This window comes from Homo sapiens, chromosome 18 (assembly GCF_000001405.40).
Source record: "Homo sapiens chromosome 18, GRCh38.p14 Primary Assembly".
NCBI classification, from domain to species: Eukaryota; Metazoa; Chordata; class Mammalia; order Primates; family Hominidae; genus Homo; species Homo sapiens.
This window is the reverse complement of record NC_000018.10, coordinates 54994253-55007924: the sequence shown is the minus strand read 5'-3', so window position 1 is coordinate 55007924 and position 13672 is coordinate 54994253. Positions and strand designations below refer to the sequence as shown.

General features: G+C 39.4%; 1 annotated feature.

The window, feature by feature from the left end:
- Nucleotides 260-1459: an enhancer, noted in NCBI's record as "BRD4-independent group 4 enhancer chr18:52673697-52674896 (GRCh37/hg19 assembly coordinates)". NCBI's record gives its function as "activates an origin of replication core promoter dependent on BRD2, P300/CBP, MED14 and CDK7 cofactors, and independent of BRD4, by STARR-seq in HCT116 cells {active_cell/tissue: HCT116}" and the evidence as "EXISTENCE:reporter gene assay evidence [ECO:0000049][PMID:35650434]".

The following is a 13672-nucleotide window of genomic DNA, read 5'->3' as shown; positions in this document are numbered from 1 at the left end:
CATTGAGGCATAGGGGTTCGGAAACCACACATGTATCCCCCTTCACAAAAAAGCGATGGACACATTCCTGTATAGGTTATGTGCAGCTGCTGCAGCAAGACACTCAGAATTCTTGTGAACAAAGAAAGCTCTGTGCTGAAACATAGCTTAAGGAATGGCAGTAAGTATGAGGAAATTTGCAGGAATCTTCCAAAAGGAAAGGCTGTACAAACTGAATTCCAACCAAGAACAATGTAAATAAATCCAACTTTTATAGGATATATAAACCAGAGAGACAGCGGCAAATGGCTAAAAATGCAAGGGACCTTATCCATGTTTCTGACCCCCTTGAAGGATACACGGTAGGTGAAAGTAAGGCAGGTGCTGCTGGAAAGGTATTTGGGGCAAAATTTACAATTTCTTCACTTTGGCCAAAATATTAGTCAACCAAGAAGACTTTATTATAAAACTTCCAAGTGCCAAAAACTGAGGCATAAAAGAAGCACAAATCATAGTCTCTTATCTTGAGAAGCTTACCAGTTGGTTGATGAAAGGGGACAAACACCCAAAAGAGAAACCCTAGTTAAGTTTCCCTTTATGTTGTGAATCAGTAGATTTCACCTGGAGGTGCGTCTCGAATTAAGAGGAGGCTCATCTGGAAGAGGCTATTGCAGAACCTGAGTTTCCACTAGGTAGATCTCATCACTAGGAGCTCAGGAACTTTATCTAGTTCATCACCATATCTTCAGCACCTGCAAGAGTCTCCATCATATAGTGGTCATTAACAGATACTTGTGAATGAAGAGATCAATGAATAAAGGTGGAAAGGAGCGGCAAGAATATAGTAAATACCATTTGGGGTATATGTTCAGATGATGATTTCCTTGTTCATTGGTTGGCATGGGTTTGCCTACAAGAACAGAAAGCCTAACAGCAGAAACACAAAGAGATTTTTTTATCTTATGAAGTCCAGGGCAAACCAAATACCATCAGAGACCCAGGTTACTCCATATTTCTGCTTTGCCATCCTTTACACTAGCCTTTGTCCTCATTGCTCTCATCTCATGGTCACAGATGGCTGTTGCAATTATAGATATCACATTGCTCTTTATTTTTTGCCAATTAATTTTTTTCCCCAATGATTTTTGCAGGTATTTTCTTGTCTGGAATCAGGAAGCTACAATTCACTGCAAGGGAAGCTGAGAGCAAGTTTGTAGAATTCTAATCTGCATAGTAGAATTATCAATCATCATACTTGATAGAGGTGAGAATGGGAATTGAGAAAGTGTGATTATTGAATCATTCCATAGTATCTGCAACACAGCTTGCCTGTAATTTGTTGATGGTCCATGGGATTGGATGTTTAAATATCACGTTTGAGCCACATATGGGTCTTCATCCCAAGCTACCACTTGGTGGTATGGAAGTGGCTAGCTGCCCCAAGCTTTTGGAATTCTAGAGTCTGAGGATCGCTGGAACTGCAATATTTATGAGGCCTCCCAAGCTGTTGTGGGTGACTCTGAAAAACACTAGAAATTTGGTCTCTGGCAGAGAATACAGAATAGAGCAGACACTTGAGAGAAGTAGGGACACAGAGAGAAATAGGGTGGACTTCCTGTTCCTAGGTCTAGTCCATTCCTGAGATCCAGTGCCCTTGGATCATTTTAATAAAATTTCCTCTCCCAACCTACTTTTAAAATTTCATCCAAAAGTTTTTAAATTATCAAGTGTGATCAAAATTTTACATTCAATGTGCATGAGTTTTCTTTTGGGGATAATATAAAAGTCTAAAATTAGATTATGGTAATAGTTGTACAACTCTGCAAATGTACCACAAACCATTGAAGGATGCACTTTAAATGGGTGAACTATATGGTAATACGGTAGGTAAATTAGATCTCAATAAAGCCGTTTAAAAACTTATATTCAGTGTAATTCAAATGTGTGAAGAGGTATATTCTATCATTTATATAACTAATTTAATAATCCTAAATAAATCCCTAAATAACCCTAAATAAATCCCTACCTTTCTCAGTAGCAAGAAAAAAATTGACTTTATATTTGCAATTAAATGTTTATCTCAGAATTTTTATGCTCAGGCCGTCTTCATTGGATGCTTTGGCGTCTTTTGAGCAAATGGTTGGCCATTTAGCTTTTTCAACCTTCCCATATTGGGTCAGTGTCTGTAGATGTTCACATGTCTCTGCTGGTGACACTTTGGCTTGCATCCTGGAGGTTGCCTATTGGAGTACCCTGCTTTCATCTGGTTTCTTGAAACATCATGATGCCACCCATTGCTCTAGATTCTGATCCTTGCCTTTTGCTTCTAATTGTCAAATCCCAGTACATAAAGGCCTCCTTTTGCTGACCCAGACTTCAGCTTGTCCACTATCTTTGAAAGTTTTTCCAAGTCCTCCCTCCATTAAGCACAGAGAACTTTCTGGATTTCTCACAAGCAGTTTCCATTTTTAGTCCCTAAGGAGCCAAGAACACTCAGGCTTATCTGTCTAACCACCTGCCTTGGCAACTGACGTGAAATCCTTCAAACCTACTTTGAAAGTCTCTTCTCAGGATTCCCTGCTTTCAGACTTTCCATGAACCTATGTAGTGTTTCTCCCTTATCCAGTACCCCAAGTCCCCCATTCAGAACCCTCTACCCCATTGCTTTCAGTAAAATTTCACCTGCACTACATCGCCAGGCCTTCTTCTGGTTAGGTGAATGTGAGCTGGTGGAATTAAAGGAAAAGAATCATTTACTTTACCCAAGCCAAGCTTTCAAAGCCTTAGAAAAATTCAACTTTAAATTTCAAAAGCTGGCTTTTTCTTATATTTTATTTATTGAGATACAATTTACATATGATTAAAAGCACACGTTTAAAATACACATGTTGATGATATTTTCTATTAAATGTACGTATCGCTTTAATTCAGTAGTGAGTGAACTTGCTTTGTATTTGCAAAAGTGCAAGGAAAGACCCTGAGAGTGAAGCTGGGGCGTCTGAGTTTTGAAAGGGTAGACCCATTAGCCCGTAATTCTCTGTGAAACTAATAAACTTGGAAAATCCATGTAATCGATACATGGCCAGAGGTGTTCTGTTAGCTGTGGTCATTATGGCCTTTTTCTCTGGTTTCTGAATCCCTCTACTACCTGTCATTGGCTTCCAGAGCCTCAGGCTGGTCAAACTCCCTCTCACTCACGTCTAGTGTCCATCTTTTCAAACTCTGCCTCTCTTTAACACTTCTGTTAAAGTCCGTGGACTTCTCAGTCCGTGGACTAACAGGCAGAGACTGTTTTGATCGTTGCAATTTATAATAAGGTACAAATGAGGCTACTGGGAATTACTTAACTTTTCAAAGATGGTTGGTACCTGAGTATTGGGTCTGATTTGCAGAAATACTAAGGGGCCTGGGCCTTCTCACATTAATCCACGGCTGTTTTAAGCCAGCCTCTTCCTGCCTTTGAGATACGTCTCTGTGCTTCTCCCACTTTTATCTTGTCCACTGGGGAGCCAATGGAAAGTCATTTTTGCAGCTTTCTTTCCATCCTCCTTTATTCTTGCAGGCATCTTTGCAAAGAAGTCATTTCATAAAGAATATGAGCCCTAAATACCTAAAATGATGAATTACATATCCATCAATTCTTAGTGTTATTATAACCAAAAACCCGCTATACCACAAAAGTTAAGAGCGCGGAATTTGATAAACTAATGTTTGAATCCATTCCTATAACCTCCGAAGTCTACTCTTGGCATTACCATTTTTGGGTTCCTTAATTTGAGCCAGACTTTATGTCAAACACTTTTACATATATGGCAAGTATATTACAGAATTTCATAATCCATGAAGCTAAATTTCTTTCTAGCACCAAAATCACAATAATTCAAACCTTCATTCTGCTTGATAGCTGGAAATCCAGCCTGTGTGGGTGATAAAGTCTGGGTGAGTAAAGATCATATCAGACCTTCTGGAAACACAGCAGGCTCTCTCTGAGTCCATCCGCATCCACATGGGAGCTTTCTGCATTCGTTGGTATGTATCATGCCACGTCCACATCATCTGGACCAGATGCACTCTTCAATCTTGGAGTTATGCAATGCACTGTAAACTGCAGAGTACTGTAACATTAGGCATAGGCAACAACCCCACTTGGACTACACGTGGACTCTGCAGTGAAATACAGCCCGTGCCCAGGACATTACCAAACTCAGAGCTGCAAAACTAAAATAAAAGCAATGTTTCAAATTCAGTCCACTTCCTAAAAAAGTACACTGATGGCATCCTGTATAATGAGATGTGCTGGTGATTTCTTTTTAAACAAAAGCATACAGTCAGAGAAAATGGAAAACTAGGATTTGCAACATTATATATAATTACAGAGCTATGTGACCAATAACATTATATATAATTACAGAGCCATGTGGCCGATAAGTCAGATGTGACTCTCTCTCTCCACACCTCATATGCGCAGACAACTTTCAGTGGCCTGGAAGTCCTTCATGCATATCCACTGTTCAAATAAAGGTGGGGTGAGAAAACTATTCAAAGACCTAGATATTAAAACTTCTCAGCAAGAAAACTAAGGTATGTACGTGTATTTTTAAAAACATACATACAATGTTTTACATTTTTTCTCTGATATAAACAAAATAGTGATCATTTTTTAAAATGTAGAAAATAGGCCTGGCGCGGTGATGCACACCTGTAATCCCAGCACTTTGGGAGGCTGAGGCGGGTGGATCACCTGAGGTCAGGAGTTCGAGAGCAGCCTGGCCAACATAGTGAAACCCCGTCTCTACTAAAACTGCAAAAACTAGCTGTGCGTGGTGGCATGCCCCTGTAATTCCAGCTACTCGGGAGGCTGAGGTGGGAGAATTGCTTGAACCCAGGAGGCAGAGGCTGCAGTGAGCCAAGATCATGCCACTGTACTCCAGCCTGGGCGACAGAGTGAGACCCCATCTCAAAAAATAAATAAATAAATAAAAAATAAAGAGAAGCAATAAAGAAATAATGAAAGTCACTTAAAAGTTTATCATTCTTTTTAATAACCACTAATAATCTATTGTTTTCTAGTCTTTTTCTTACAAATGCATTTGTTAATATTATATATTTTATATTTATATAAAATCATATATTTTATTGGTAAATATGTTGTTTTTACAGCCTAGAATTATTAACATACTGAAACAAATATTTTATTATATTTTAAAATTGTTTTCACAAATCAGATCAATCGACATGTAAACTAAATTGACTTCTAAAACAATAAAACCAATTTATACTTTCACTTGAAGTGTTAAAGAATACTTATCATTCTTTTTTGTTTGTTTGTTTTTTGAGACAGGGTCTCATTTTGTCACTGAGGCTGGAGTGCAGTGGCGTAATCACTGCTCACTGTAGCCTTGATTTCCTGGGCTCAAGTGATCCTCCCACCTCAGCCTCCAGAGCAGCTGGGATCACAGGTGTGCGCCATTACACCTGGCTAATTTTTTAAATTTTTAGTAGAGATGCAATCTCACTATGTTGCTAAGGCTGGTCTTGAACTCCTGGGCCCAAGAGATTCTCCTGCGTCAGCCTCCCAGAGTGCTGGGATCACAGTCATGACCCATCATACCTGTCACTTAACACTCTTAAACCTACAAGCATTAAATATTTAAACAAATAAAAATTGGTGCCATTTCAAATTGTAAAAAAATCTTCCTGTGACTACTAGATATTTGAATTGTTTTCATGCACTTATTGAGCAATTATATATTCTCTTTTGTGAATTAGCTGGTTCTGCCCTTTATGCAGTTTTAAGCTGGAGGAGGGGAATGAAAGATTTTACTTGTTTCTTAGGGTTGGTAAGATCCCTTTCTGTAAAAAAAGAATAATAATAAACCTTTGTCTGTCACTTATTGCAAATATTTTTATCAGTCTGATGTTTAGCTTTCTTATGGTCATTTTTACTCATTGAAATGTAATTTTCTTACGTGTTCAAATCTCAGTAACTTGGAAAGACCTACACATGTGAATACATAAGTAAATAAATTTTTCTCATCAGGAAATTCCTAACATAATTTGGACCTGGGAGTGTGTGTGTTTGTGTACACAGGTGGGCTGCTGGGCTGGTGCTCACTCACGTGTGCTTGGCTAACCTCACTCCAAAAATATCCCTCCACCAGGATGGCCAGGTTGAACAATGCATTTGCTGCTTTTGCTCTCAGGAAAGGTATGAGGCAGGTCAGGTGCTCTTTCTGCTGCTCAGATGTGGATAACCTTGTGAAGGACCAATTCAGAGAGCGAGTTGCTTAAAATAAAATGGGAGGAAGACTTTTAAGAGATGGAACATCTGTGATAAACTCATTTTCTGTGTGAGCACCAATGGAGATGCCTGTCTGGGTCGGCTGAGCAGCATTTCTATAGCAGTTGAAAATTCATTTCATTTCATTATCGGAACTGTTCAAGCACTCCGGTTTGGATCAGGGAACAGCTTCTTAAACCTGCAGGAAGCTCATTTACCCCTGCTGAGGCTCCAGCTCTCTTTCTTATGGGAAGGTAGAGATGGCTTACTTACAAATCTTGGCATATATGTGTGTGTGTGTGTGTGTGTGTGTGTGTGTGTGTATATATATATATATACACATATATAATCTACATCCACACACATATATGATTTGTATTGAAGAAGCATATTTTCCAGGATCCTCCATCTCTAGCAGCCCTAATATTATCCTTTTTCTGTTTCATTTGGGTCTGTTTCAAGGCTACTTTCCCAATCCTCTCATCCTTTAAAAATACTGCTCTCCGTGCATTAGTAAACAGACAAGTGCCTCTCAGGTGGCGTGCAGTGGAACAAAGAACAGAGCATCAATTCTCTCAACAGCCCACAATGAGGCAAGTCATAGTATTTCTCAAACAACAAACACTGGTTGAGAAAACTTTTAAAGAATCCCAGATGGCATTTACAGATTCAGAACTAAATTAATGGAGGGGAAAAAATCCATATACTTTGAAGCCTTTACAATGAAAGCCATAAGACTTCTAGTTGTTTCTCGACTGCGACACCTCTGGGCTCCAACACCGTAACTGCAGCCACATTCTCAGATCTTCCATGTCAGAGAAGGAGCTAAGAAGCCTGTGGCTACTGAGAAGAGGCCAGCTAAGTGATGCTGGCATGTAGGAAGCAGGCACACTACTTGTGGATGGGGAGCATGGTGACTGGAGAGACCAGTGAGGGCAATTTGCATCCTTTGAGGGCAATTTGGTCTCCAAAGAACAGAGTGATCTGGAGGGAGTGACAGCCAAGAGTCAGCCAGAGCGTCTCAGCCATCCCAGGAATCAGAGAAATCCAGGTATGTGGGCCCCTGGCCAGGGTGAGGGAGTTTAAAAAGTAAGTGCCTCTAGAAAGCGGGACTCAGAGGACTCAGAGGAGGCCTTCATTCCTGGATTACTGGCTAGAATAAACCACCATCCCATCCTTAGAAGGAGCCCTAGGATGGGCGCGGTGGCTCACGCCTCTAATCCCAGCACTTTGGGAGGCCAAGGTGAGTGGATCACTTGAGGTCAGGAGTTCGAGACCAGCCTGGCCAACGAACATGGTGAAACCCTGTCTCTATCAAAAATACAAAAATTAGCCAGGACTGGTGGTGGGCGCCTGTAATCCCAGCTACTCGGAAGGCTGAGGCAGGAGAATCACTTAAACCCAGGAGGCAGAGTTTGTGTTGAGCCGAGATCACGGTTGAGCCTGGGTAACAGAGTGAGACTCTATCAAAAAAAAAAAAAAAAAAAAAAAAAGTCCTGGGCGGGTTATTGGAGAATGGACTCAGGTACATGAAAATTGTCTGGTTCCCATCAGAGATGGCTCCCAGACAGGGCAGCAGCCTTGTGGCAGAGCACAGGCCAGAGCAACTCCATGGAGGGATCTGCTTGAGGCCGGGCCTCTGTGTGTCTGGCATATTGGCTGCTTCTGTTCACCCTGCTAAGTAAGTATAGGATTAGTCACATGGCTCAGGAGGTGCTAAGTTTGAAGGAGGAAAGGAGCCCGTTGGGGCTTAGGTTAAATCCACGTCATAATAATGTGATCAAGTTCTACTATTTATAAGACACCAAACTGGGAATTTGTAGGCAAGGTAAGAAGTACAGGGGCGGGAGTCAGGAGCCCTGTGTGTGCTGGAAGAATTTTAGCATTAAGACTGTTAGGTTTTAAAAACAATATTATGTTTATTTTGCACCCCAGTCTATTTATTTTCTCCAAGGAGTCTGCCTGTCATGACACTGCACACAGAGTAGGGTCTGGATTAATGCCTGTTGCTGGACTGGAGATGCCTCAAGAAAATCAGGTGAATGGGCATTGTGGATTAGCCACTAGAACGGGGTCCAGGAAGAGCTGGACTCTGCATTGTAGGCTAAATGACTGGGTCGCAGGCGGATGAGGACAACAGAAACAAAACTGTGGCAAACACCCTTGGTTGAGCATTACTGCAGACTTCTCATTACATGAAATGTTTCATGTGCATTGTTTCATTTACAGAAGGCCTATGAGATGGGTACTGTTTTTTTCACACACAGTGACTGATGAAGAAAGTAAGTCTCAGTACAAATAAGAAACACCCCCCAGGTCACACGAATGAATGGTAGAGCTGGACATGACAGCCAGATCTCTCTGGCTTGGAAGCCTACGGGACTATACACTGTCGATGGTCTTTTTTGTCTGGTAATATTTATCCTATGCAGTGTCAGCCTCAGTCTGATTGATTGACTGCTATACTGCCTAAGTACAAGATCACATATCTTGTCAACAGAGTTAGAATATTTTATTTGATTTCCCAAGCTTCAACTGATTCACCCTTTGCCCGCGTGAAATTAGTAAAATGGCCACATTAACATTTCTTTTAATGCTCTTTTTAAAAAGAGTACATTTTTAAGAATGGAAATAATGCATTTAAATGTGCTCTATAAAATGTGCAGTTGTTTATAATAGACCAAGGAAATTGCAAATGCAAAAGTACAAATTGTTTTAGACACGGCAATTTTTGTACTTATAGTACTTATAATGGCCTAAAATACACATTTTAGTGTATATGTGCTGAGAAACGTGTTTTTAAATGTTGACTTGTAGCGTAGACATATCAAAAAATTTTCATTAATTGCAAATATATCCTAGTTACTACCTATTTCTCGAATTAGAATAATATCTACCTCATTTTAATGATCAATATAGAGCAATTCACACAAACCTAATTTATGGGTGGGAAGCAAGATGGAAAATAAACATGAAATGTTAAGTCTGCTACTTCAAAAGACAAACGTCTTTATTATATGTATTTGAATAATGGTGACTGTTGTTTTATCTGTACAATAAAGCTGGAGATGGGGAGAAAGAAAAAGGGAAAGGTAAAGCGGCAGAAAGGAAACAAGTAGAACCAATGATGGGAGTTGGGGAATCACACTGAGTTATTCATATGACAAATAAAAATGAATGATTTTTTGGCAGAAGTATTTCATTAAGGTAGTAGGACTGTGCCTTTTTACTCATTTATATTAAGCTTAAATGCCAGAAAAATGTTATTATTTTGCCTACTCTCATTTATTAAAATCATTTTAAAAATGTAGTTCCCAGACATCCATCTGTCACATCAGGAAATAAGCTAATTTTCTCTTTCTTTTTTTTTCCTCCAAATATGCTAGAAGATATTAGATAAACAAATGTAATAAAATTCATTATATATTTTCTCCACCATATAAGAATACAAATACTTATTAGAAAACTTGGAAATACAGAAAATAGAGAAGAAAAATCTGTATTCTCACCACCCAAATAAAGCATATCTTAACATTTTAATAAATTGTCTTCCTTCCAGTCTTTGTTTCCCCATTTATAACTACTTACAGGTTTAAACCAACATTTTGGGGAACCATTAAAATATTCAGAGTTCAATAATTACTAGGTGCATCGTTATTATTCCCCCCAACGTTGAAGAAAAGCAACAAAATGCTTCCGAAACCCTTAGTTCGTGCATCTTGCTCTGAGTCCAACAGAAATGATGTTTTAGCTAAACTGAGTTAATTTCAACCTTGCATCCTTCACTGCTTTTGATGTATCCAACCATATGTGTGACAGAGCAGAGCTTCCATATACTGCTCCCAAGTCTGTCTCCCAAGAGCCTTGTAATGATGATGGAACCATGAAAGGAGCATCAGTGAAGAAATCGTACAATTCAGAATGTTAGTGAAGAATAAATCTAATGAACTTAATGTCTCAGCAGGTATCTATTGGTTCCAAAATTGGAACATAGTACATGGTAAGAATTTTCTTCCCTGTAGATAGCAGCTAGTAATAGGTCTGTTTTGATTCCATTAGTTTAGTTTAACGTGAAAGCTGCTCCCTGCACTACTTAGTCTTTTACCAAAGATTGATGGGGAAATAGTCTACATAGCCCAAGTGAAGGGAAATGCTGGACATTCTGTGGGAAATTCAGGTTCTACAGAAGCAGTCTTTGCATCTAAATGTGCATCGCTGTGCTTTGCCTCATTTTAAGCTTGTCCTATGTGATTGGTTGAAAGAGGACTCAGGAAATCTCAGAAGTTCTGGATGGACCTTCAGGTCACTCAGTTGCCTGACCCTTCTGTTTTCAGCAGGTGAGGCATGAGAGAAGTTATGCTACATTTGAGAATGGAGAGTTTACATTAATTACAACTGATGTGGTTTACAGACTTGAACCTTATAGACTCAAAGAAACTATGTATGCTTATTCAGATGTTGGCATTTTGTGTCTTTATACATTGCTGGCCAAATCTATGCAAGAAAAAATGATGAGAAGTTTTGTAGCTTTGGCAACTTTATCCCATAAAGTCACAATTTCTTCCCCACTAAAGTATTTCTGCCTTAATGTTTTGTAGGGCTTTTTGTCTTGGGAAGGTGCTGCGGTCTTGAAATTCCCAAAGACTATGTAACCCAGTAGAGAACATCATCCCATGATTATCTTTGGGTAGACTAAGTGTTCTTCTGTATCTTTGTATATTTCCCAAGAGGTTGTCATCTACTTTTAGCTTAGCAGAAAACTAGATTTTGCTGATTTCTCTAGGTTCTATTATTTCTGCCTTAGTCATCTTATAGTTAGCCCCAACATTCTTGATGTGTGCACCCATATACGTTTTCCAAATTGTATACAGCACCACTGATTAATTTCTGTGTTTTATCATTGCCTTGGAACATGGACCTATACAGGATGAAGATGGCATTCCTTGTTTTCCTTAGTTGGTAATATAAACCTTTATATGTATTTGCCCTTCCTTATTATCTCCCTTTCTCATCAATGGTATCCCTCCCCTTGGCCTCAAATAGGCTAACTGCTGTTTATTCCTTGATATTCTGTTTATGTAATCACTTGCTTCTATAATGGTTACTACTACTTTTTTTGCTTGCTAATCACTGAATCAGTGTAATTTCTCAGACAGTCGACTCCGTTAGTGTTTCCCTAAGTATTGCATTTTCTTCAGCTCCTATATATTCTCCCCTGGTTCACTGTATTCTCTTTATGGTCTAGACAAGAGGATGACAAATATTTTCTGTTGAGGCCTAGATAGTAAAGATTTTAGGCCAGGCCCGATGGCTCACGCCTGTAATCCCAGCACTTTGGGAGGCCGAGACGGGCGGATCACGAGGTCAGGAGATCGAGACCATCCTGGCTAACACAGTGAAACCCCATCTCTACTAAAAATACAAAAAATTAGCCGGGCATTGTGGCGGGCACCTGTAGTCCCAGCTACTCGGGAGGCTGAGGCGGGAGAATGGCGTGAACCCGAGAGGCGGAGCTTGCAGTGAGCAGAAATCGCGCCACTGCACTCCACCCTGGGCAACAGAGCAAGACACCATCTCAAAAAAAAAAAAAAGATTTTAGGCTTTGCTTGCCATGTAGTCTCTGTTGCAACTACTCAATTCTTCCATTATAGCACAAAAGCAGCTGTAGAGAATATGCAAATGAATGGGTGAAGCTATGTTTCCATAACATTTTATTTGCAAAAAGAAGCAGCAGAATGGATCTGGCCTGAGGGCTACAGTTTGCTGATCCGTGTTCTTGACTATCACCTGCCAGGACAGATTTGCTATAATCCCGTCATCCTTTTGGCACATTAAGAATTTATAATATTTACATGTACTATTATGTTTATTTATAATCATAAGGAAAAGATAACATTTTCTGAACACTTAAATGTCATTGGAACTGTGTTAAGCATCATGCATAAATTATCTCATTTAATCAGCTCAAAAGCCTTGGGAGGTAGTTTCTAATACTAGTCATATTTTACAGATGAGGAAACTAAAGCACAGAGACTTTAAGTGTCATGCTCAAGAATGCCAGTTAAAAGGAATCCATGTGGCCCACATCCACAGCCCAGCCCACAAACTACTATTCAGTTCTGCCTCCACACACTGCAATACATGACTTCAGGTGTGGTGCCTACAAGTCGAATGGCACCCTGGTCAAATGGCCCTTTGAGTTTGTTCTAATTAGCTCTGGCCAAAGAAGTGAAAACACTGCTGTTGTGGATCACCCAGTCCACAATGATCTTAAAGATTAAATGTCACTTTTTCATATGTTTGTTGCCCATTTGTATATCTTCTTTTGAGGATTGTCTATTCATGTCCTTAGCCCACTTTTTGATATTTTTTTTTTCTAAATTCTCAACATCACTAATGATCAAGGAAATGCAAATCAAAACCACAATGTGATACCACCTTACTCCTGCAAGAATGGCCATAATCAAAAAATCAGAAGACAGTAGATGTTGGCGTGGACGCGGTGAACAGGGAACACTCTACACTGATGGTGGGAATGTAAGCTAGTACCACTGCTATGGAAAACAGTGTGGAGATTCCTTAAAGAACTAAAAGTAGAACTACCATTTGATCCAGCAATCCCACAACTGGGTATCTACTCAGAGAAAAAGAAGTCATTATTCGAATAAGATACTTGCACAGGCATGTTTATAGCAGCACGATTCACAATTGCAAAATCATGGAACCAACCCAATGCCCACCAATCAACAAGTGGATAAAGAAACTGTGGTGTGTATATGTATGTATGTATGTATGTATGTGTGTATATATATATATATACATACACAAAATGGAATACTACTCAGCCATAAAAAGGAATGAATTAACAGCATTTAATGGAGATGAGATTGGAGACTATTATTCTAAGTGAAGTAACTCAGGAATGGAAAATCAAACATTGTATGTTCTCACTGATATGTGGGAGCTAAGCTATGAGGATGCAAAGGCATTCGAATGATACAACGGACTTTGGAGACTTGGGGGGAAGAGTGGAAGGGGGCTGAGGGATCTAAGACTACAAATATAGTGCAGTGTGTACTGCTCAGGTGATGGGTGCACCAAAATCTCACAAATCACTACTAAAGAATTTACTCATGTAACCAAATACCACCTGTACCTCAATAACTTACGGAAAAATAAAATAAAAAATATTAAAAAAATTAAATATCACTACCTTGGAAACCACTATAAAGCATTTTATAGTGTACCTCAATAACTTATGGAAAAATAAAATAAAAAATTTTTAAAAAAATTAAATATCACTACCTTGGAAACCACTATAAAGCATTTTAGCCAAGGTAACTCTCCATTTCTTTTTCTTGCTGCCTTTCGATGATCCACAGAGAACTGAAGGGAAGACCTAGATGTTTGTTG